Source organism: Homo sapiens, chromosome 4, assembly GCF_000001405.40.
Source record: "Homo sapiens chromosome 4, GRCh38.p14 Primary Assembly".
Classification (NCBI taxonomy): domain Eukaryota; kingdom Metazoa; phylum Chordata; class Mammalia; order Primates; family Hominidae; genus Homo; species Homo sapiens.
In genome coordinates this window covers 145,868,303-145,893,187 of record NC_000004.12, presented here as the reverse complement: position 1 = coordinate 145,893,187, position 24,885 = coordinate 145,868,303, and the positions used below count along the sequence as shown (strand labels likewise).

Below are 24,885 nucleotides of genomic sequence, written 5' to 3'. Positions count from 1 at the left end.
TTGTTTAATTTCTTGAAAGATTGGAGCATTTGTGGTGGCCTCATTGCAGCTCTTCCCAAAGTGGGCAATGAGGCCCAGTCACCGTGCAGAGGAAGGCAGCACATATTGTTAGTGGCTACCAAAGGGACAGAAATAAAAGGGTCAAAAACCCTGACCTTAAGACCCCCTGATGGCTAAATTGGCAGCAGCATCTGCTCAAGCCACAACTAAACAAGTCAGCAGTAGGGATCCGAAAATTTGTCTCCATTGGAGTTCAGAGAGTGAGGTTTATGCTAGCTGTTTGGTTTTCAGTGTGGAGCAGTGCATTATTCTCTGTCCCATGTGATTTGTTTTTATTTCTCACTGTTTTCAAAGTTCAGGAATTCAGACATGGACTTGAGTCTGACAGTTTCCTTCAGGAAACAAAGCCCCTGCATTCAGACTTCTCTGACTGTGCATGGTGCCCTTGGGCCCTGAGTTAGGACAGGCTGGGCGAAGCCCCTTTGCCGATGTCTTCCTTAGTGTTGGATGGCCTTTGGAAGTCAGACTTTCACAAGGCAGGATGATCAGATTTTGGAAAATGGAGCCCAGATGGAAGTAACTAGGTGAATATGGGTTTCTACCTGAAGAAAAGCAGTACTAAAACTTTCTTATGGATAAAATCTCGGAATTGTCAAGAAAAAAACCCAAATCATTTTTAGTGCTTTTTATATGGCAGTGTATGTGAATTAATGCCAGATGCAGTGTACCTTTTTGTTTTCCTTAATGGTCCTTTCTTTCTCCTTCTTCCAAGCCTCAGAAGAGGAAAGTGGAAAGCCTTTCCAGTGTCCAATATGTGGTTTGGTTATTAAAAGGAAGAGTTACTGGAAGCGGCACATGGTGATTCACACAGGTTTAAAAAGTCATCAGTGTCCGCTCTGTCCATTCCGGTGTGCTCGCAAGGACAATCTCAAATCCCACATGAAGGTAAGCCACCTACCGACTGCACCTCCTGGAGAGGCAGGCACAGCCAGGGCTTCTGTACATGGTCTGGTGCAGGAGGCTTCTTGGCCGAGGGAGGGCGCCTCACTGATGAAACATGCGGATGACAGTACTCCACGTAGCAAGGTAGAATTCAACAGAAAGGTGTTAATGTCCACTTTGCAGCCAAGAACTTAAAGGCAGAGAGAGAGAACCTTCGATATCCAAATAATGTATTTACTGGAGGGCGGTCCTCTCCTATAGGGGAGCAACAGCCTGCCTGGCCTGTGTGCTGACGCATTTCTTGGGGCACTCAGAGGCAGGGCTGGGGAATAGCAAGAAGCAGGGAAAGCCAAGTTCAGGAAGAGCTGCTGGACTGAGCACCAAAGAGAGGGCTGTTGAACCTGCTCCCCTTCCTGGAGAGACTGCCCTTGGCTGTTACTGCCTTACCCTCCAGCTTGCAAACTAAGAGGAACACACAGAGACACCGTGTAGGAGGCATGAAGACAGTGAAGGCACCGGGCCTTTAACTTTATTTAGCCCTGTGGGAGGCTTGGGGGCCCTTTCTAACAAGACTGTAGTCCTCATTGAGGCTGTCATTGTTTGAGCTATCATAATTCCCAGGATTACATTTACCAAACATCCAAGGACATAATTTTCAATGTCCTATTAAAAACAACTGGGGAGCTCAAACCTACACTAAACATGTACAGAAAAATTGACTGGAATCCATGAGTCCCTCTTATATGAGATGGGGGAAAACTTAGTTAGATGGAAATCTTTTTAGCTGACTCCGTTAATGCAAAGGGTTTTGTCTCAAAATCCAGGAGGAAACTCATGGGATCAAAAGAGCATGGGCTTTTGAATTTGATAGACCTGAATTGAAATCTTATTATGCAACTTACTAGCTAAGTGGCCTTGAGCAAGTTAACCTTTAGACTCTGAATTTTCTCATCTGTTAAATGGGAATCATAATGTTTGTCTGGAAGAGTTGTCATTAGTATTTAAGGAGAGAATATTAACCAAATATCTGACACAGGAATTTTCAATGGAAGTTATTTAATTCTAATAACTATCATTGAGCATCTTAATAGCAATCATATCTTCACTGATATTTTCGATATGATTTGGCTGTTGACATTATTTATAAAGTGTTTACTTTCCTACCATAAGAAGTATAATGTATGGACATAATTAAGGTATTTGCTTATTTGGAAATCTTGCAGTCTAATCCTTTTAAATAGATCAGTAATCACTCTTCAGAATTGTAGCTCTAAAAAAGTGTGACCAGATAGAACCTCTACTGACTTTAGGAAATAGCTTGGAAGATTAAGAAAATTTAAATCCATGATGTAATTTGTTTTCTATCATTTGCCTTTGTCTCCTGGGAGTAGCATGCCCTTCATCTTCAGAATCCATTTAACCAGGAGTTCTGGTTGGCTGAATTTTACTCAGCCGACTTAGTTTTTACTTTAACCCTCCTCATCCTCTGTCACGTCTTCCCAGAGTAAAAACTTGTATTTTAAACCTGCAAAGTTGAATTTCGTTAGCAGGATGAGACTTCAAAAGAAATGCCTTTAAAATGAAAATTTGTTTTAGTTACTATTTCCTAAGCTGTGTTTAGAAATCAGGTCTGGCAAATTTAAAGCTTCAGCGAGCAGAAAACTTGCATCTAGCCTGACACCTTGTAAGCTTGGTTTCAGCTCAGGGTCACTTAAAACAACCTATTTATAAACCCATGGAAAAAAAGCAGGGTTTTCAATAGCAGGAACTACTGACCCTGAAACTACAGGGAGATGAGTTGGGTGCCTTGATGACACAGACGGCCGGCCATGGCAGTGTCACAGATGAGAGCTGCAAGGGCTTTGTGGGTCGTGGGGTCTTAGAATGCTTTCAGAACAAATCAATAACCAGTACGATAAAGCAGTTGTGTGAAATTACTACTTTATTCAAACTCATGGTGTCCTAACCTGTTGAGCTATGACTTGAGCTTTTGATACGGGAAGTGTGAGAAGAGCTCATGCAAGTTTAATTTTATCAAACGGTATATTCTTTCTTGTCCCTGCTTTCCACCTCACTTATTGGCTGTTCTTTTTTTAATCAAAGCATTCATGATTTTATTTGGTTAAAATACTTTAATTTTGCTACATTTTGCAAATCTAGTCTACCTGGAAATATAATGGTTGTAGTCTTATGGGTAGATATCCTCTGCTACATCCACCAGAGACTACAAATATGGACGGACAGATTTTTTTTTTTTTTTTTAATTTTTGAGACGGAGTCTAGCTCTCTTACCCAGGCTGGAGTGCAGTGGCGCCATCTTGGCTCACTGCAGCCTCCGCCTCCGGGCTCTAAGCGATTCTCCTGCTTCAGTCTCCCGAGTAGCTGGGACTACAGGCGTCCGCCACCACGCCTGGCTAATTTTTGTATTTTTAGTAGAGACGAGGTTTCACCATGTTAGCCACGCTGGTCTTGAACTCTTGACCTCAGGCAGTTCACTTGCCTCGGTCTCCCAGAGTACTGGGATTATGGGCGTGAGCCACTGCACCCGGCCGTGGACAGATTTTCTTAATGAATTCTGCCTAAGAAGTGGGGTCAGTACGGGAGGCGGAGCTTGCAGTGAGCCGAGATCGCACCACTGCACTCCAGCCTGGGCGACAGAGCTAGACTCCGTCTCAAAAAAAAAAAAAAAAAGTGGGGTCAGTATAGCCAGAGATTAAGATCTCAAACTGTATGGTCAGAAAAACCTTAGTTAGAATCTCAGTTCCACCTTAGGAACTGTGAGACTTTGAAAGAATCATTTAACCTCTCCAAACCTCTGTTTCCACTAATGGAGATAATAATCATACAGTCTGTCTCATGGGGTTGTTATGAGAGTTAAATGAGATAATGCACATAAAGCACTTAATACAGTGCCCAGCCTGGAGAAACAACATTCAGTAAATGTAGCTAATACAGTGATCATTATCGGAAAGCCATCTCAATATACATTAATGTTTATTTACATTTAGAAATAATCAATGAAATGGTATAAAAAATTACTCTAAAATAAATTTTATTCCTTTTCCCTTTTTGTGATCTGTCTTTAGTGCTGAGAACTTAGAAAAACTGATAAACAAAGGAATATAAAGTTGATCCTTAATCCCATCACCAAGAATGATAAATAACCATTATCACTTTGATGTATATTCTTCTATATTGGTATATCGATGTTTTAAAGAAAAATGGGATTCTACTTTCTTTGTTCAACAAATATAGTACTTACTGCATTTGTATTATAGTACTTACTCTATCCTATTATGTCCTAGGCACTGTACATTCTTTTAGCCCACCTTTCCTTCATAATATATCGTGCAAATGTTTTTATCACCCGCTGTGGAAGGAGCTTATAAAGGCCTCCAGATTTCCTTGGGGTTATCTCAGATTTCCATTAAGTCCTTTAAAATTTTCCTGGATAAGTGAACATACAGGAATTCAACATGAATTCATAAGCTAAAATTGAACAGAAAAGGTGAGGAAGACTGCTAAGATAAAGAACACTGGTGAAGTATTAGCAGGAAACTGACCGAGAGTCAGGGTACTGAGTTCTAGTAGCCTCAGGTCTGCCATTTAAGGAGCTCTAACTTCTCATGAAGGCCCTCACCTGTCCCCCTAGTGGGGGATGGAGTAGAGGTTTCCCAAAATTTCCCCAAGCTCTGAAATACCACAACCCAAGCATCCAACTGCTACCAAGAAATGGCCCCAATGGTGAAGAGATGGCCCTAATGATGTAACAGCACCTGATATGGGTTGTTTGTGTGAAATGACCAGAGGATAGGTGAGCCCCTAAACATGGCCTGGAGAGAATGACGTGCTTTAGAGAAGCATGTCTTCATTTTAGTAGACTAAGAAGATCTTTAAAGCAAATGTCAAGCTAAAGAGAATAAAAATTATGACAGAAAAGTGCTCGAATGTCAGGAGAGAAGGGGGAAAAACTGCAGTCAGAGGATAGAGCTAATACTTCTCTCAAAGGCCAAATGTGATATATAGTCCTTTTGGGAAGTTGTAGCTCAAAAAAAATTGTTAAGTGCAAAAGTCAACAAAATACCCACTGTTTTTCCTTTAAAGCTTCACTAATTTGTCCATAACTAAATATAACAAGGCCAGGATCTGGTGAAAAAGAAGTCACATAAAATACATGCACATAGACGGTTTTTAATCCAGGACTCCCTTTTGATTTTAGAACTTGGGCTTGTGCTCTGTCCTTTTCCTTCTTCCAGAAGCTGCTTCCGGAGCTTCTGTTCTTGGATTAGCTCCCCTCCTCTCCTGGGTCAGTAGATGTAAGGACACTTCTGAAATGGATCTGCCCCACTGCACTGCTCTCAGGGACAATGGAAGCTCTCTAACTCGTGACCTTTATCACCTGGTTCCAGGGCATGCTTTTGGCAGCACCGGTCAGGGTCCCATGGGACTGTGACCTGAGGTCCCCAAGGTGCCTGCTTCTGCGTGAATTGGTCGGAGGAGATGGTGGGGATTCTGTGAGAAAGCAATGAAATGGTCAGCTCCTAGTGAAATCCTTTTGTTGTGAAAGAACAGAAAGGGGTGATGTTAACAGCTGGTGACAATCAGTGTGTTTCCCCACCCCCAGCACTCCACCCCAGCAGAGGGAAAGCCTTTCCATGATCAGGACTTTGCCTAACTGAGTTTAAGTGTATATGGCTATTTCTGTTAAGAAACTCGTGCTTTGGGGGACCCAGAATCTCTTCTGTTGTTTTTTTCAAAAAGCCACAGTGGGGTGCTGTAGCGACAGGATCTCACCATTAACTTTTAATTTCTTTGCTTTTGTTGGTCACTTAACATTATTTAAAAGTATGTTTTGGCTGGTGAATAATGCTTTTGGATTGCATTCAGAATGCATAAACAGCTGTTGTAAAACTTGCTCTCTTGGAAAGGAAACCTACCGAGAGGGGCCAGGTGGTGCAGCGGATTAACGCATGAGCCTTTAACCTTGGTGAGACCTGGGTTCGAGTCCTGCTTAGGTCACCCCTAAAAGAGGAGGTGTCAGTTTTGTTTTGCTTTTGGGTTCCAATCACTCACTTGTTTGTTCAGATCACACAGCTCCCCAAATCATTTGGCCCACATCTACACAATTGGCAGTTCTACTTAAGGGAGGACCAGTCCTGAAATAGCAGAGTGTAGCAGGTCAGCACTAAAGTGCATTGGCAGAGATAAATGGGGAAGTTACAAGCTTATGAGCACCTGCCAGCTCAAAGCCTGGCTCAGGCCAATGCAATGATTTCCTCACTTTTTTAAGCACTAAATTTGGTAGTGACAGGAAGAAAAAGTTTCTCCCAATTTTTACAGGTATCATGTGCATGCAAGACTGGAACTGGATTTAAAAGTCTGCATTCTTTCATTGCAGACGTCAGAATCTGGAGCATGATATTATAGCCACGTTTGGAAAAATTGGTTTCCTCTTGCTCAGAATACTTGGTGAGGGTCAGACCTTGGTTTTTCTCCTACTTTGTTTTTTTTTTTTGTATGTAATTTCGCTCAATCCATTTATTCTGGGGCCTCAATTTCTCTGTCTTTGAAACGGGAATACCCTGGAGACATTATTTTCTACATTCTTAATTACCTAAGAGCAGCATTTTGAAAACTGAAATTATGTTTGCAGAACATAACTAACAAAAAATTGGATGAATGCAAAGTATCATTATTGTGAGAGGAATTACTTGACAGGTTACCTCTTTTGATCCCCAACTAGTAATTTTGTAAGTTTGGATTGTGCTGGGTTTATAATATTTTCTCTGAAGACATCAACTGAGATCAGATGACTAGAATAGTGGGATGCTACCCAAAATAGCATCCGTTGGCCGGCTGCATCCTCAGTTGTGAGCATGGCCCTAATAATGGACTCTTAACCTATGTGGACCCACTTTATGTTTAGGGATTGGCCTCATTACCTGGAGCCCCATAGTGAAATGCTCTGCAGTACAAAGGCCAGCCCTTTGCACGGTGAGGAAATGATTGATGAATAGTCTGGATCTACAGCAAGGCATTTTCCATAAATGCACGGTGGCTAGCTCATTCTTCTTGCTTCTCCGTCAGGTTCATCAGCACCAGGATCGGGGAGAGACCTTTCAGTGCCAGCTGTGCCCTTTTACTTCCTCACGCCACTTCAGCCTGAAACTCCACATGCGTTGCCATCAGCACTTCCTGAGGACAGAAGCCAAGGTGAAGGAGGAGATCCCAGACCCAGATGTCAAGGGATCTCCCCACCTCAGTGACAGTGCCTGCCTGGGGCAGCAAAGGGAAGGAGGAGGGACAGAGCTAGTGGGGACCATGATGACGTCTAACACTCCAGAGAGGACTAGCCAGGGAGGGGCTGGCGTCTCGCCTTTGCTGGTGAAGGAGGAACCCAAGGAAGATAACGGCCTGCCCACCTCCTTTACTTTGAATGCTGCCGACAGGCCCGCCAACCACACAAAGCTGAAAGACCCCTCCGAGTATGTGGCCAACAGTGCGTCAGCATTGTTCAGCCAGGACATCTCTGTTAAGATGGCGTCTGATTTTCTCATGAAGCTGTCAGGTACTTGAATAGGGTTGTATTCTCTCTCTCTCTCTCTCTCTCTCTCTCTCTCTCTCTCTCTCTCTCTGTCTCTGTCTACCAGTATTCTTATTTGTAAAATAAGCTGGTAGAACTAGATGATTTCAAGGTCCCTTTAAATTTGGATAGTCTGCACTTCCATACATTTTCTCCTTGACTTTGTGTGTGTGTAATCCTTTGGAAGTAGTATTGCTTTGGCTTGGGTCTCAAAACAGTAGGGATTGTTGATTTCCTTCTGCTTTTTTCCCTTTGGTGAGTTCTTACTGTAGGGGGGAATGGTCACATGGTAAGCCAGGCTTGTGTCAGTTGCTTGTGTGACATTGGGCCCTGTTTAACATGTCTCTTCTGCACTGGACTTGTATGAAATACCTCATTTTGGCATTATTCAAGTTCTTTACTGTCTTAATTTATAAGATTTTTAAAGGACATATATACAAAGACTACTATTAGGAATTATAGACTTCTAAAATTTGAGCAAATGATAACTATCTTTAAGAAGTTTTTCAGGTTTTTTTAATGGGAAATTTTTTTATTATGGCAAACTGTATTTAACATAAAATTTACCATTTTAACCATTTTAGGTGCACAGTTCAATGACATTAAGTATGTTCACATTGTTGTGCAAACCATTGACCCCCATCCATCTCCAGAACTTTTTCATTCTCTCAAACTGAAACTCATTAAACAACTCTCGGTTCACCTCTTCCCCCACAGGCCCTGGAGGCCACTACTTTATGTCTTTGAATCTGACTATAGGGACCTCATATAAAGTGGAATTTAAAAACACATTTTTAAAAAAAATTCTTTTTTTAAAAAAACTGCCCTGATCCATTTGGGAAAAAAAGATGGAGTATAAATTATAAAGATGTATTCTTATTAGTTGACATTCTTTCTATCACCATCAAATTGTACATGATGTTTCTTTTTTTATCATTTTTTCCCAACATATTTGATTTAAGTCGTGGTGTTGAAAAGGGGCATCAAGGTCTTAGGGCACTTTGTTTTTCCTGTCATTCTCTTTTGGAATGATAAGGTGTGTTGCAGGATTGTGCAGCTACTCATTACGCTTTTAAGAGTATGATTTTAAATTTTAAAGGAGATGTAGGGGGTGGGGAAAGGTCGGTGGAGAATTGGTTCTGTATTTCAGTGAAGATGGAAGTCCCCACGATGATTTCCAAATGCCATGTCAGCTCTTTGGAGATTGACAATACCCTTTTAAATGGAGAATAATTGGTCACCACCTTCCTTTAAATGGAATGTGAGTCGCATTTCACTAAATGTCATTGCCAGGTGAATTAGAGGTTCAGCTCCACTCTGAAGTCCCTTTGCTCAGGGACACTTCAGTCGGGTCTTTTGGAATGTCCCCCTTACCACAGATCTTTGCTCCTCAGGAGTGGGAGACACTAGTTGGAAGAAATGAGGAAAGGTAGGGGATGGAAAATGAGATGTCCCAGAAATGAACCAAGTAGGCAAAGAGCGGGGAATGTAACAGTGAAGCACACCAACTGGCAATGAGAGTGAGGGGGCCCTATGCTGGAATTGGCCAAGTTTCTGACTCTGGCTCTAAAGAACACTGGCTTCTCTGCTCCTCATCACCTCTCTCCCCCGACTTCTCCCTCCTCTATTCCAATCTAGGGGAAAATGTGATTTTTAGAGACTTTGAGTTTTATATTTAAAAATTTTTGAACATGTGGGGAAAATACATGTTTTCATGTATTCCATGTTTGCTGTTCTGATCCTTTAGGATTTCACCTCCAGGGGAACTCTAGTTTTTCCTTGATTGTCTTCCCTGCCACCGTGATAGCAAAGGGGGCTCCTTTTATGGGCCCTTATAGTGCAATCCCCAGGGAAGGAATGCAAATGACATATTCACATCACATAGCTTAGAAAGGGGGACATTTCCTTACCTAACAGACAGGGGCAATCCGAGTGGGGGTGAATGACTCTGAATAAGGTGTTACTCCCTTTACTCCATGACTCCAGGGATGTTTTAAAATCTAGAGGAAGTTGAGCGAGAACAGGGAAGGTTTGGTCTTTGGATAAAACACTTGTGTATGATGCATGGCTTCTGCTGGGCTCAGCTCTGAGTGCTCACATTACGCTGTAATTAGCTCTAGACCCAATCTCAGGGAGCATAAGATAAGGCTGCTTAGAGCCAGCACTGCAAGCAGCAGACACGAGGGGAGAAGCCAGTTGATAGGTTGGGGGGAAGAATTGCGCATCAAAGCCTTATATTGTGATCTGTGTTTTCAGTTAGCTATTGATGGGGAGTTGTTTATGGTTTGGTAGTCAGAATATTTACTGACTGATAATTGGCATAAGAAAACAGATAACAAATGCACACACTATTTATGCAAAAGGCCCATGTGGCTATTTTATGGTGGCTTACTGGAGGTCCTGAAACCTGACTTGTATGCACTGTTACCTAGCAACCTGTTATAAAGTCACTGGGGAGTGAGATGCATCCTTAATTTTTTTGTGTGTGCATATTTGGATGTAAATGTAAACTTGGTGACTGTGGCAATGCAGCTCAGGAGAGGAGAAGATAAGTTAAAAGGAAAGGAATACATTTTCTAGAGCGATTTTTTTTTTTTTTTTAATTTTACTTACCCTCTGGTTGGTCTGGCCATACGTTTGATAGCTGCTCTCACTGTGATGCCCTACCTGGCTGTGTCTGTGGATATGATTTAGGGACAAAAAGGCCAAATCCCAGGGAGCTGCGGCTGAGTTTCTAGCTCTTCCCATCATCAAATGTAGTGAAGTAGTGGCTAGTCTCGGGCCTTGTCCCTTGGCGTTATAACGGCGCCATTGTTCTTGCACTGAATTTTTTCCCTGGGCTCTGTCCGTGCACCTGCTGGTACTGTAGGGTGCAGCTGTTTGTGGGCACTGAGTCTGTGAATCTTTGTGCCAGCCAGATCACTGTCTGCAAAACTGGAGCACAGTGACAAATTCAAGCGTGCAGACACCTACTTGTTTCCAAAAGAGAGAAAACACTTGATGCTTTCTTGCCTGGTTATTAAGGGGAGTCTTTCTTGCTCCTTCAACTAAAACTAAGCATAAAGATGATTGAATGGAACCGAGTGGGATTAAAAGTCAGTGGATAGAATACTGTTTTAAATGGACTCTCAATACCCCCCACCCCCATTCCTGTTAGAGGTTTCTTAACGTGCATGATTGTGAAATAAAATCCCTTCTCCAAACTATCAGCTATTCTTCTGACTGAGCCCACACTTAACACTGCTTGGTCCTTCAAAAATAATGCTGCTTGCAAAACGGAGGCTTCCAGGCCCGGCATCGCAGTTGATTCAGGGAATAGTATGGGCAGCTTTCAGGGCTGACAGAAAAATGAATTTTGTAGATTTCACCCACGGTTTAGACTGAGGCAGACCTGAGAGGACTCCAGGCCTGTATGTTCCAGCAGCTCTTTCCTGGAAGCCAGAAAGCATATGCAAATCATTGCATGTCAGGGCAGGTGAGCCAGTGGTCACGTGGCTAGGGTGTTCAGGGAAAAGGTGTTCACCCGACTGCGGAGAGCTAAGTTCCTGCTGATTCTGTGCCTTGTCACCCATAGCCAGCAGCAGTTCTTAACCTCGGCTGCACATTAGCCTTGCCTGGGGAGTTTTTCACAAAATGCCAGGGCCCAGAAATTATGATTCACTGGGATAGGCCCTGGACATTGGTATTTTCTTTAATATCCTCAAATGATTTTAATGTGCAGAATGATTTTAGTGTGCAGCCAGGGCTGAGGACCACTGATGTGGAATATAAACTTGTTACATGGTACAGTATTTTTTGGTACAGCTACGGTTTTCATCAGTGCAGTTTTGTTCCTGTGGTCTCCAGCCGAGACCATGAAACGGGGCATGGTGGTATGAGATAGGCCTGTGGCTTTCACCATAGGTCAAGGTTGACATGAAGGAGAGGCCTGGGTGAGTTGTGTTCATGGAGCCCCAGGTGTTTCCTTGTGGGGCCTCCTGACAGGGGAGTTTCTCCAGTTAAAAAGTCTCAAGATTCAGTGCAGAGCATAAAGGAACTGGGAGGGTCGTCATTATTAGAAGCCTGATTAAAAGTTGCCTGCAGCAACGGCCTTACATCATTTCTTTTTCCGAAAACTACCCTTTTCAAGATATAAAATTTAATTCTAACTCTCCAAATTATAACCAAGCAGTTGACAGAAACTTGGCACTTCACTTGTTGGCTGGGAATATCTTTTTGTCCCTGGTTTTCCAAAATAAAAGATATGTCATTTCAACTATTTTTAATTTGGAAGCCAGCAAAAATTGTTGTGCTGTCTCCCACATCATATTAATTTCGTAAAATTGAGACCAAAATAATTTTAACTAGGAGAGATGGACTTCTTTAAAGCACTAACTTACTTTTAGCCTCACAGAGACAGTTTATGAACAAATGGATATAAGCTAAACTGTTTCTGACTTATTAGTAGCTCATCCATTAAACAGCAAAGGTGTTCACATATAAACGTAGGGTGTAGGTTAATGTGTTTGTGTCATATACTGTAGTTTTCCATTGGCCTTTGTTCTACAACTTCCATCTATTTCACCTGCTTTTAAGCCTCTGCATTTACAATACAGTTTTTGTATAAATGGCAGCTCCCCATCTTGCTTTACCTTTGTTTGTGCTGCTGGAGAAGGAGGGATGGGAGATGCCCATTGAACTAAGTCATCCTCATTGCCCAGTGGCTCTGATTGCCTTTCTGTAAAGGCAGTCATCTCAACAAATGAGCCTTCTTCCAAGTAAATGCCATCCTTGTGTTATTCACACCCTACGACGGCAGTGCCAACAGCCAGGGGGCTCTCCCACTCCCCACGCCTGGGCATGCCCTCTCCAGTCAGGTGATTTTCGACAGCCTCCCTTTGCATTTTTAGTTTAGCCCTTCCTTTTAACCCTGCCTTGCTTTTCTGGTGATGGGCACTCACTAATCACGTGACTAAAATTCCTCATGTGAGCAGCTGCATTTAGGGGCCTTATATGTGTAAGCGGCTTGAATGCCCTTTTGAAATTCTCGACTTTATTGAACTTGGTGATTCATAAGAGAGGAAGAGTGTGACTCTTTCTTATTTTTCAGTGACTTGCCACTCATGAGACAAGCACTGACCTGAGTTAAGAAAGGAGCAGGTAGGACTATAAGTAAGTGGGACCTGGAGGATTATACGTAAGTGGGGCCTGGATTGCTTACACACACAGTTGCTGAAACTTGCATGGACAGAGTTCTTACGCTAGTTACTCATTGCTTATTATTTTTACTTTGTTTAATACTTACTAACTCCTTTGAGCCTTGTGGCAACGCCATAGTAGGTGGTATAAGTATTCCCATTTTACAGATGAGGAAACTGAGAAATGGAGAGGTTAGGAGTCTTGCCCAGGTTAGCACAATGAATAGGTGGTAGAACTGAGATTCTTTTTTTTAGACGGAGTCTGGCTCTGTCGCCCAGGCTGAAGTCAGTGATGCGATCTCGGCTCACTGAAACATCCGCCTCCCGGGTTCAAGCTATTCTCCTGCCTCAGCCTCCCAAGTAGCTGGGACTAAAGGTACCTGCCACCATGACCAGCTAATTTTTATATTTTTGGTAGAGATGGGGTTTCACCGTATTGGCCAGGCTGGTCTTGAACTCCTGACCTCGTGATCTGGCTGCCTCGGCCTCCCAAAGTGCTGGGATTACAGATGTGAGAAACTGGGATCACAGGCATGAGAGACTGGGATTCTAATCCAGGCAGTGTGGTTCCAGGATTCTCTTCCCCAGGCTGTCTCTACCCACAAATTACAGAAAGAAGCAGCAAAACAGGAACTCGGCTCTGTTCTCTGCCCTTCTTGTGCGTTGTGGAATTAGCCAGGATTTCAGCATGTTCTGGATGTTGTTATGTCAGACAGCTTTAGAATTTGTGTTAATAGTTTTAGGCATCTCAGGAATTATTTAGTACAAATAGAGCAGTAAGAGTAGGGCCAACTGATATTTCTGTAGAGCTTCACAGCGTACTGTGTATTTCTAAATACATCATTTCATAACAAGCATGTAGATGAGAAAACCAAGACTTGGGGTAAATAACTATAAAAGAGTCATGACTGGAATCCAGACCTTTCTTTCCTGACCCTGCTAGATAGAGTGTACCTAGTTCCAGAATTGCCATCAGAGTGATTTTTTATCTTGATAGACCCCTGGGAAATTTTACCAAAGCCTATTGTATCTGTAAAAACAAAGGGAAGTGTCATTCTCCTTGAAGTCCGTTCTTTTTACTACTGTTGTTATTATTGTTGTTGCTTCTACTATTATTATTTTAAGAGCTATAATTAATCAAATGTGCTTACAGTGAGCTGGGCACTGTGCCAGCCACATCATGTAATTTCTCATTTAACCTTCACCACAGCCCTATAGGGTCTGTAATAGTAAACCTATGTTATAGATAAGGAGGCCGAGACTTAAAGGTTTCGGCTGCAAAGGACAGAGCAAGGATTCAGCTCTGGGTAACCACAGAAGGTTGGCTCTTGACTACTTAATTAGCTATTACCTATTTTTTTTTTCTCAGTTGAGCAAACTGTCTTTTGACCTCCGTCTGCTTCACTGTTTATTTTCCTTGGCTTCAAACCATGGCATCATTTTGAATGCATGCACTTTCAGTCACTAATCTAGTTAAATTTTTTGTGTCTTCAAAATTGTACTGAAATTTTCATCTACACTCCATCCCTTCATGTGCAGCCTGCTCCTCATGCCTAGAAGTTGCCCCTCCAGCTCCCTCCCTGATGCCTTTTCCTCCCCAGCACTGCCCCCACCCATCCACCCAGCATTTCTGATGGACTTTTCTTCCAGTACCTCTTGCATCAGATCATGCTCCTGTCTGGCTAGCTCTTTTCCTTCCTTCCTCCTTTCCTTCTTTCCTTCCTTCCTTCCTTCCGCCCTTCCTCCCTTCCTCTCTCTCCCTTCCTCCCTTCCTCTCTCTCCCTTCCTCCCTTCCTCTCTCTCCCTTCCTTCCTTTCTCTCTCTCCCTTTCCTTTCCTTTCCTTTCCTTTCCTTTCCTTTCCTTTCCTTTCCTTTCCTTTCCTGTCCTGTCCTGTCCTGTCCTGTCCTGTCCTGTCCTGTCCTGTCTTGTCTTTTTTTTCTTTCGAGATGAGGTCTTACTCTGTCACCCAGGCTGGTCTCGAACTCCTGACCTCAGGTGATCCTCCCACCTCAGCCTCCCAATTAGCTGGGTTTACAGGCACAGGCCACCATGCTCAGCCCTAGCTCCTTTCTGCTCAGTAACTATCTCTCCACTTCTCTTAAGAAAACTGTTAACAGTCTTCACCAGCTCATGAACATACCCCTCTCATTTCCATTTTTCTACCTTTACTCATGTTGTTCCTGGGGTCTGATAATTGGAACCATGGAATTGCATGTATATTTTCCTCCTCTTGGGAGGAGCTACAAAGTCACACTGTAAAGAGGTGGGCCTTTGGAGGGGGGAATCGTAGCCATTTCATGGTCTGCCACAGTCCAGAGTTCTTCAGACTCTCTGGGTGATCCACAATGACAAAAATCATTTACAAACTGATCTGTAAATAAGAATGTCAGCATATTAATTTAAAATGACAAGTATAGCAGTCAAGAGGAGATGTCATTTGGGGCAAGTGGATCCTGACTTTCCTGAAAAAGGTTGGAAATATATTATCCAGTCTTCAGGTTTTCTTTCTTCTAGTCTCCAGGCAAACCACTCCATTGCTGCTCATACATTTCATTCTTTGGCCGTGTTAATAGTGGGAATTTAAAATACAGCCTTCTTTCACATTTACTTAGGGCTTGATTGGTTTTCCAGGACCTGTCCTTCCTGCTTTTGACGAGGGAGATATCCTGTCTGTTAAGTGGGTTACTGCAGATGGCAACTTTTGCCCTTTGTGGGTTGGTTTTAGTAGTTTAGTTTTTGCAGGAAAACTTTATATATTTTAAAATTCTTGAGGCACTGCTCACTTTTTGTTATCTTTGACCCTTCTGCAGAGGCTGTTTTTCCCCTTTGGCCATAGCTATCATAGGAATCTTTACAGTCTTGCTTTGGGTACATAGACACTGAAGGGTGGCCAAGGATTAGCTCAGGTGGGGATTAATGAGAAATATGAGATGGCTAAAATTTCACTAAACACTAATTATAAAATGATTTAAGGGAAATTAAAGAGCAAGATTTTAAAATATTTAGCAAATGTTCTAAACATTCCATTTGAATATAATACGCTTAACATTTAAAAGTCATATTTAACTGTTATTAATTATTATTTAATTAAATCTTGGCTTTTCTTACGATTTCAGAAGGCAGTTTCTTACCCAAAGCACATCATAGTGCTGAAAAATCCCAGATCCCCAACCTGTTCATACATACATACATACACACTGCTAACAAGGGAACTTGGTTGGATAGAACCGCACCGGCTTGTGATCTGGAGAGTTAAGCTCTGATTCTGGTTCTATCATTAATGAGCTATGTGATTTTCAAAAGATCGTATAATCCTCTGAGCCTATGTGTTCTTATTGTAAAGTAAGGGAGTGGAAAACAGTAATGGCTTTCATTTTGTTTCAAAAGTTCACATTTATTACATTTACATATTTAAAAAGCCAAGCAATTAGGGGGAAAAAAAGTTGCTATTTGGTGAGCACAAAATGTGACACTCCAGTGCTATGAGGGAGTACAGTCTGTAGCAATGTGATCATCTAGTATATTTCTAAATTTATTTTGCTGATCTCAGTTTGAAAAAATACAAGTACGGTTTCACATAGTGGCAAATGGGAACAGATTTTTAACAACTTGTCTTGTAATTTCAGGATCTCCTCAATTAAAGAAGAGTATAAGCTTTTGCTTCAAAGTTGACAACATTTGGCAACTGCCCTCATTCCTTATAATAAATGGAAGATAAGCAGTATCCAGAACTCACAATATGCCCTAAAGCCATCTGTAATTCTGTGTCAACTACTTGGTTATTACTCAGTTAACTGTTATTTGGGAAATGTATTTAATCTCTCTAGGTCTGAGATCTCTCATCTGCAAAATGGGGATAATACTAGTGCCTACCTCAAAGGGTGGCTGTGAGAATTAGATAAATTAATACAGGTAAATACTTGGTGTGTTACCCAGCTCATGTTATGTGCTCAATAAATGATAGATCTAGCTCTATCCATATGTATCTACATATGTCTATTTGTCTGTCTATTAGCTATGGTCAAAAGCTGCACCAAGCACACTTGATACACTTGAATCTACCCTTGCATTTAATTTAAGGCAGGTATGCCCAGGGGATAGCTGGCAATGTCTAGAGAAATTGTTTTTTTCACAACTGGGAAGTACTCCTGGCTACTAGTGCGTAGAGATGCCAAGGATGCTGTTAAATATCCTACAATGTGCAAGACAGTCCCCCACCCCCAACTGCTCCCAGCAGATTATCCAGTGCAGAATATCAGTGGAGTGGAGGTTGAGAAACACTAATTTAAAGTATGTTTATAGGCTCTAGTAGGACTATAATTATATATGAACACACATGCATAGGCCTGAATTCTTTGAAAAATCAGTGCAAAGGCAGCCACTTCATTATTGATGACATTACTACAACTGCAGCTCTCCTATGAGAGGGGGAGAAACTGCATTACAAGGGCTACTACACAAAACTGAATCAACTTGGCAACATATTAGTGGTCTCCAGTATGTTGATGTTTTATATATAATGCAGTGGATGATGCACGCTTTGAACTTAAATTTTAAATTAATTAATTTTACAATGATTTTTTAAAAACTTAAATTCAAAACAAACATTTGTTGGAACCCCTGAAGCATATCCTAGGGTTCCTTGGAACACTGTTTGAAAACCATTGCTCTGTAGTCCCTTCCAGGCTCAAGAGTCTTTGGCCTTGGTTTAGGGTGAGATCGTAAATAAAATTCTCAGTGGGTTGCTTTTTCACAGAGCAGTTCAGCATTTATAAAATTGCCATACGTTGAACTGAAGGAGAGTTCTGTCTTATTAAGCTCAAGAAAAGGTGTCATTTTCCTTCACCAGAGGGAACCAATAGAAGTATTTATTTTGCAGTTGATTCCTTCCCTTCATCCTCCTAGTCAAATCTTCTCAGGATTTCTTCCTACCAGAAAATGTCCCTTTTCTTCAGACAAAACCCACCCTTCCCTTTCTCATGAACAGTGCTTAATTCACCCACATCACTTATTTTCCAAAGCCATTGTTCACCTGCTGAGGATAGTGTCCCTTTTAAAGGTACCTGGGTGTCTTGGAGAGAAAGGAAGGGGTTTGGATGCATTTCCAGTGAGAAACTCTGAGCCAAGTGTCTCTGTGAATTAGATCTGTGATTTGGGGCATCAGTTTCTTAACCTTTTTAGGACCTTAGTTTCCTCACCTGTAAAATGAAGATAGTAATAACATCTGTCTCCTGTGATTGATGGAAGGTTTGATCCCTATGTAATTACTCAAGAGCTAGTTGTATACGTTGTTAAAACAAATGATGGTCTTTAGAAGGAAGTTATATAGTATTTTCCCTAGTAATAGGGAAGTTATATAGTATTTTCCCAATTACTATATAACTAGAAAATATTGTAAAATATATAGTATTTTCTAGTTATACAGTAATTTCCTAGAATTGGAAGACTGGAATCATCTTATCCCAGCAGCTTTCCCATTCCTTTCCCACATTTGCCTTTATCTTGAATTCTTCATAAATCCTCAAAAAAGCGGATTTGTTTCCTTTAAATGGTGGTCCACCTCCATCAAGTACATAAACTGAGAGGTATGTGTAATTGATCAGCAGCGTGGCCCAGGTCCTACGATGCTGGGAACAAACAGCGAGAGAGGGGGCCTCTTGATTACCAAGGGCTTTCTCATCACATCAAAAGTGCAGTTATCCAGAAACTTTCAAATAAATAAACAGAAGTCAAGGCAGGTGTTGTGAAAGTCCTTGACAAGTTGAGTTCCGCACCTGCACAAATCTTTCTGTGTTAGTAGTAGGAATAAAGTGAAGACTATGTCATGAGTCATAAATGGTTGCTTTTCTCTTAGCAATTTCCCCAAAGAAAAAGAAAACATCTTGAATTCCACCTCTCACTGCACATGTGGGTTTTTTTGTAAAGTGGGATAATTTAAAAGATAGTAATTATTAAGTCATATTAATTTTAAAATATAGGCTTTATGTACTGTTCTCAATGTAAATATTTTTGGTCATTGAAAAAAGCAGGTTAGCCTTCATATTTCTATTTTTACGTCTTCTATTGAGACCCAAATGTTTGGGAAATTAAAACTTGGGCAAATGAGTGATTTCCATATGCTCTTCTGATATGTCATTAGCTATATTTACATTTCCTCAGCACATTACAATTTTCTGTTATTCTCTGTATTGTCAGAATGAAAACCAGGTATGTAGTGCCTTGCAAATGTATAATCCAGCAATATACAGCTTGCCTATTGCCTTTTAAAGTGTCTTTTTGAAGTTCTATTAAATCCAGGTTGTGCTAGCAATGCTAAATATCTTTACTTTTTTCCCCCTAAGTCTCTTATAGCATATACTCTGACTAATGCTTCTAGAAACCACTTACATGTGCAGGAAGCATCTGCTTAATGATCTCTAGAAGTTGGGATTTGCTCCTGGGGCCTCAATAGTTTTTTTTTTTTCATCTCTTTCTTAGCTTCATCTTAGAATTTTAAAATGTTTTTAAATAAAAGATGCAGCAAGGAAGCATTTTAAAAATACTTAACCATTCACTTTAAATTGTTCTTCCTCAAAGAATCAAAGACACAGACTTAATAAACACCCTATTTAATTACTCTGTCGTGATGAACTAGGGTGCCCTTGGAAAAGACTTTATAAAGGGTTCTGGGAGAATGGTGTTGGGAGAGAGCAAGCTTTAGAAGGGTGACCAGCAAAATCCCCCAAGAAGTGGGGGAAAGGTGCAAAGGGGAGAAATGTGCTAGATAAACCAAGTCCTCTTAGGAGCAACCTTCCTGGTAGACGTTGGAAGTACATATTTGAGGATTGCTCTGTAGACCATTATTGCTCCCTTTGATTCAGATTCATATGGCATTGTCCCCAAAGGGCTAGATTTTAAGCACTTTCCTTGAGATTTTTCTGGACTCCTCCTTTAGTAATGCTCTAGTTCAAGTGATGATTAGATATTTCAGTAATGCTGTGGTCTAGGTAGAAAGGCCTTTAACTTTACTTCAAAGATCTTATCTCCCATCTAATTATTAAATCCAGGGAAAGCACTTCTGATTGCTTTTGGTGGGATATTTTGGAGGTCTTAGTTCTTGTTAACTTCAGATAATATTGGAACGCCATTGGATGCCACTAATTTGGAGCAACACATTTTACTCATTCAACAAATATGTATTGATCACTAACTATGTACCAGGCACTATTCAGGGTACTTGAGACACATCAGTGTTAAAACAAAAATTGTTGGGCCAGGCGTGTCGGCTCACGCCTATAATCCCAGCACTTTGGGAGGCCGAAGCGGGTGGATCACGAGGTCAGGAAGCCGAGACCATCCTGGCTAACATGGTGAAACCCCATCTCTACTAAAAATACAAAAACTTAGCTGGGCATGGTGGCGGGCGCCTGTAGTCCTAGCTACTTGGGAGGCTGAGGCAGGAGAATTGCTTGAACCTAGGAGGCAGAGGTTGTGGTGAGCCGAGATTGTGCCACTGCACTACAGCCTGGGTGACAAAGCATCTCAAAAAAAAAAAAAAAAGAAAAGAAAAAAAAATTGTTGCCTTCATGAAGCCTACCTTGTTTTGTTTTTGTTTTTGTTTTTGTTTTTTTGAGACAGAATCTCGCTCCGTCACCCAGGCTGGTGTGCAGTGGCATGATCTTGGCTCACCACAACCTCTGCCTCCTGGGTTCAAGCGATTCTCCTACCTCAGTCTCCCGAGTAGCTGGGATTACAGGTGCATGCCACCACGTCTGGCTTATTTGTATTTTTAGTAGAGATGGGGTTTCACCATGTTGGCCAGGCTGGTCTCAAACTCCTGACCTCAAGTGATCTGCCTGCTTCAGCCTCCCAAAGTGCTGGGATTACAAGCATGAGCCACCGCACCCAGCCATAAATTGTTAACATAATAAATTTTAAAAACCATATAGCATGTGATTGGTCTGTTAAACTAAATACCGCGTAACAAAATGCCACAGACTGGATGACTTAAATAACAGATTTATTTCTCTCTTCTGGAGGCTGGAAGCCTAATATCAAGGTGTCAGCAGGTTTGGTTTCTCCTGAGGCCTCTCTCCTTGTTTTGCAGACGGCCGCCTTCTCACTGTGTCCTCGTGCAGACTTTCCTCTGTGTGCGTGCATCCCTGGTGTCTCTCTCTCTCTCTCTTCTTATTCTTCTGGTTCTTTAATGGAACCAGTCACAATGCATTAGGGCTCCACTCTTATGACCTCATTTAACCTTAATTACCTCCTTCGAGGTCCTACCTCCAGGTATATTCCACACTGGCAGGTTAGGGCTTCGACATATGAAGGGACACAATTGAGTCCATAACAGTAGGTTATTAGGTAATAAGTATTTGGAGGGAAAAATGAAAGTTAGATCAGGGTAAGAGAGGTTGGGAGGACTGTGAAGGTGGTGATTATAGTTTTGAACAGGATGATCAGAGTAGACCTCACTGAGCAGGTAGTATTTGAGCCGATTGGAAGGTCAAGTATTTTCAAGTTTTGTTACAATACAGAGACCAGAAGTGGAGGTGGTGCGGTGGAGGCAGGTAAGGGACACAGCAGGGGAAGCCCATGGACTTAGGTTCTGGTCCCAGCTCTGCATCTTTCTGGTAGTGAAACTTCCAGATAGTTCTTTGGGCTTCTGGGGTTCAGTTTCCAAATATGCTGGTCTGTGTGAACTTGTGATTCCAGAATGCATATTCTTACAGGGGTATGAGATGGAAAACAGACTTTGTGCTTGAGTATTGGCTTGGAGTAGGTGGTAGGCAAGGGGTGATAGATGTTTGCTTCGGGGATTTATTTTTATCTTTTTGTCTGTTAAGATGGAATGGACTTAAGGCTCATTCTAATAAGTGTTTCTAAGAATCCTGTATTAGGATGAGATCCTCTTTCTCAAAAGATGGACACAATCAGTGTAATCAATCCTAAGTTCCTACCTCATGGACTCTTAAAGGGAGTGAGATGCCTGTGAAAGTGAAGAGTAGTAGGAAGAGGGTGCTTGTCTCTTCCTTTGTGGTCTTTCCTGGGTAGTATGTAGCCCAGTGGAGAAGGCCTGGTACAGTGTGGCTGAGCCACAGAATCCATCCCATAATAGGCCAGTTAGCTCTGTCCTGACCACACACTCCACAGCAACCAACCATGCTAAAAATGGAAAAAGGACATTAGTGGAAAAACTGGTGAAATCTGAATAAAATCTAGAGTTTAGCTCATAGTAATGTGAATTTCTTAGTTCTGACAAATGTACCATGGTTATGTAAGATGCTAACATTAGGGAATTCTGGGTGAAGGATATATGGGAACTCTTGGAACCATCTTTGCAACTTCTCTGTAAATCTAAAATTATTCCAAAATAAAAACTGTTCTTTAAAAAAAAAAAGGCCATTTTGGACTCAGTGATGACTTGGGCTACAGACATGGATTTATCACCATAATCAGAAGAACAGTGCTAAGTAAATGCCCCACTGTTTATGGATCAGTAGTGTCGTCTTATAATGAGGCAAGAGTGGTCTATCTCTAGTCTGAGCTTTTCTGTTTGGCAAATTCTCCATCCTCACTTTACCATTGCACCCCAGGTTTTTGCTTTGGGTACTGCCTCTGACTCATGTTTGTATTCAATATCTTATGGCAGAATAATTGCCTGAAAGCATTATTTCATAATAGGATTAGGTGGGGAGAGTGCTAATAAGTCAGGGAGGCAGTGGCATACACAGGAAACAAGACTTCTAGGGAAACCAAAGAGAAAATGCCCAGAAACTTTGTAGAGGTAGCACTTCTTAAAATATTTTAGGTTCAAAAGATTCAGAAGCCCACACTCCTCAGAGTTGTAGGCCCATGGAGTGTATTGTGTGGTTTTGCCCAGGGCCCAGCCTGTTCTGATGAGGTTGTGATCCCTCCGGTTGTTAGCACAGTGTGATTGTGCATTCCATACTTCGTGAAGTACCAGGGCAGCTAAGGAGGGGAGTGGCCTTTTATGTATATATAATCCCTTTTTTTCTTTTGACAGCTGCAAATCAGAAGGAGCCCATGAATCTTAATTTTAAAGTGAAAGAGGAGCCTAAGGAAGGGGAGTCCCTAAGCACGACTTTGCCTCGGTCCAGCTATGTGTTCAGCCCGGAATCTGAAGTGTCAGCCCCAGGCGTCTCTGAGGACGCACTAAAGCCCCAGGAAGGGAAGGGAAGTGTGCTAAGGCGGGATGTGTCAGTCAAAGCAGCCTCTGAACTTCTCATGAAACTCTCAGGTACTTGATTTATTCTAAAATATTCACATTCTGATAGTTTCACTTGCAGGCCAACTGGACTGCTTCCTGCATGGGTTATAATTAACCCAATGGCAGCAATATCGCATTATTGCTGTGAATTCAAAGAACGATCAGATTACTTGGCTTAAATTCCTGTGTTGTGTGTGAGTTTGTTTGTGTATATTAGCTGTGTACCTATCTTATTAAATACAACCTTTTCCTGACTATCACTGCAAATTGTTGGAAACCACTGCTGCTTTCTAAGGTGATATAGGCCATAATTTTAAATGGGTTCTAATGATGTTCAAAGGTCTTCTGCTAATTGATCAAAATATCTATTCTTTCCTAATAGAGGACCTGGCATTTTGTGTGTATTTATACTACACTCTTTAAGCACCATTACAAATATTTTTCTTAACTTCATAAGCATTTGAGATGGCACTTGAAGTAATTACCAATAGAGTGGCAATAAGAGATTTTATGGATAGAGAATTTTATAATGGAATATTACAATAATTAATCTGTTCTTAAGATTAATGAATCATTCTTTACTAGCATCTAAATGTAATCTCAGCGTATTAAATGTAGGGAAAATAGCTTATAATTTGAAATTCATATAGTTTGGATTTTTTTCCACGTCATCTCCTATCTGCCCTGTCCTCTCTGAAACAGGTAAAAACATAATGTCTTTTCAATTCAAAGATAGGACTTTCAGAACATGGAAAAAAAAGGTTATATCAATAATAATACTTGTCAAGTCATATCCCATCCTTAGTTCATTACCTCTTAAGCAGAATTTTTAGAAACTATATTTAAAATGCTAATATGAATCGAAAGCTGTTTTTAGTTTGAAACTTGCTGTGCTTGGAGAATGAAAGCAAGAAATGCATTAGAGAGACTCCTTTAAGACCTGTAATTTCATCAGCAGTTCTGACTGTGTTTCTGGTTGACTAGTGGGTTGGAAAGTAAGAAATTAACAGTGATTTACTTAGTCGTTATATCAGAACAGTTGAAATTCCTGTACTTACCAGTTGGTGGGGTTAAAAATTCTTTTCTTTGATGTTAATTCAAAGCACATTGGAAGTTCAAGGTAACATGATTTGTTATAAATAAAGCATAATGCAATCATTACATTCTTATCATAGCTCTGTCTTCCTAAACTTTGCAGAGATAGTGCAGTACCTCCTATGCAGATGAGATGTTAGTAAGATTGTACTATTTGCTATTATAAAAGCTGAATATTTTTATAAAGGATGTTCAAGTGAACACATTTTTTGTATATTTGAACTCTCCTTCCTATGTTAAATGATGCAGAGTAATCTATTTGTTGTTTTCTGATAAATTCAAAGAGGTCACATAGCTCTGATTCTTCCCCCATAGCATACACTTTCACATTCCAGTGACTTGAAGTCTTAACCAACAGTGACCCCTGTCTCCCTCCTTATGGTCAGATTCCAGTATATAATATTTCTAGTTCAGAGTTTGCTGTGCAGCAGGTGTTGTAAGCAGAAGAGACTTGGGTAGCACCAAAAGATAATATGCAAAAAATGAGATTTCAAGAGTGATGTTCTTTAAGGAAAAATATTTTATCTTAATCCTTTTGCATGATGAGATTTGAGACACAAGTGTGGAATCATTTTGTAGATAATAATGATATCCCCCAAACAGAATATGTCTAACAGCCATGAACAGTGAAAGATATTTGTGGACAGCAGTGGTCCTTCTAAATGTATATGTTGCCTTTGGTTGAGCACATGTGCTATGGGGTTCAGCAATAGTTGAATGGATGACGTCCTGTTTCCAAAGGGCATCTGCCCCTGCTTCGTGATGTGGAAATGAAAACTTGTTTGAAGACTGACAACAATTATTTTTGCCCTGAAAAAAAATCCTCAAATCCTCAGCATTCTGTGTGCAAAAGACTTAGGTCAAAGAGATATGCATC

General features: G+C 41.2%; 1 protein-coding gene across 17 annotated transcripts in view, besides 3 other annotated features; it reads left to right on the top strand.

The window, feature by feature from the left end:
* The window catches only part of ZNF827 (zinc finger protein 827), a 181,197-nt gene that overhangs the window by 45,636 nt on the left and 110,676 nt on the right, over positions 1-24,885 (top strand). For 11 of the 17 annotated variants that reach the window (NM_001410850.1, NM_001306215.2, NM_178835.5 and 8 more), the window contains 3 exons: positions 773-945; positions 7,030-7,510; positions 22,710-22,943. In NM_001410850.1, the coding sequence (NP_001397779.1) occupies positions 773-945; positions 7,030-7,510; positions 22,710-22,943 (888 nt within the window). Of the gene's footprint in view, positions 1-772; positions 946-7,029; positions 7,511-22,709; positions 22,944-24,885 lie in introns of those variants that run through there. The other 6 variants (XM_017007768.3, XM_047449638.1, XM_017007770.3 and 3 more) reach the window with 4 other exon arrangements.
* Positions 6,085-6,184: a silencer, noted in NCBI's record as "silent region_15734". NCBI's record gives its function as "represses an Ori minimal core promoter by ATAC-STARR-seq in GM12878 lymphoblastoid cells {active_cell/tissue: GM12878}" and the evidence as "EXISTENCE:reporter gene assay evidence [ECO:0000049][PMID:35858748]".
* Positions 11,280-11,359: an enhancer, noted in NCBI's record as "active region_21970". NCBI's record gives its function as "activates an Ori minimal core promoter by ATAC-STARR-seq in GM12878 lymphoblastoid cells {active_cell/tissue: GM12878}" and the evidence as "EXISTENCE:reporter gene assay evidence [ECO:0000049][PMID:35858748]".
* Positions 13,957-14,549: an enhancer, noted in NCBI's record as "H3K27ac hESC enhancer chr4:146799791-146800383 (GRCh37/hg19 assembly coordinates)". NCBI's record gives its function as "activates a minimal SCP1, AML or CMV promoter by ChIP-STARR-seq in primed H9 embryonic stem cells {active_cell/tissue: H9 hESC(primed)}" and the evidence as "EXISTENCE:reporter gene assay evidence [ECO:0000049][PMID:30033119]".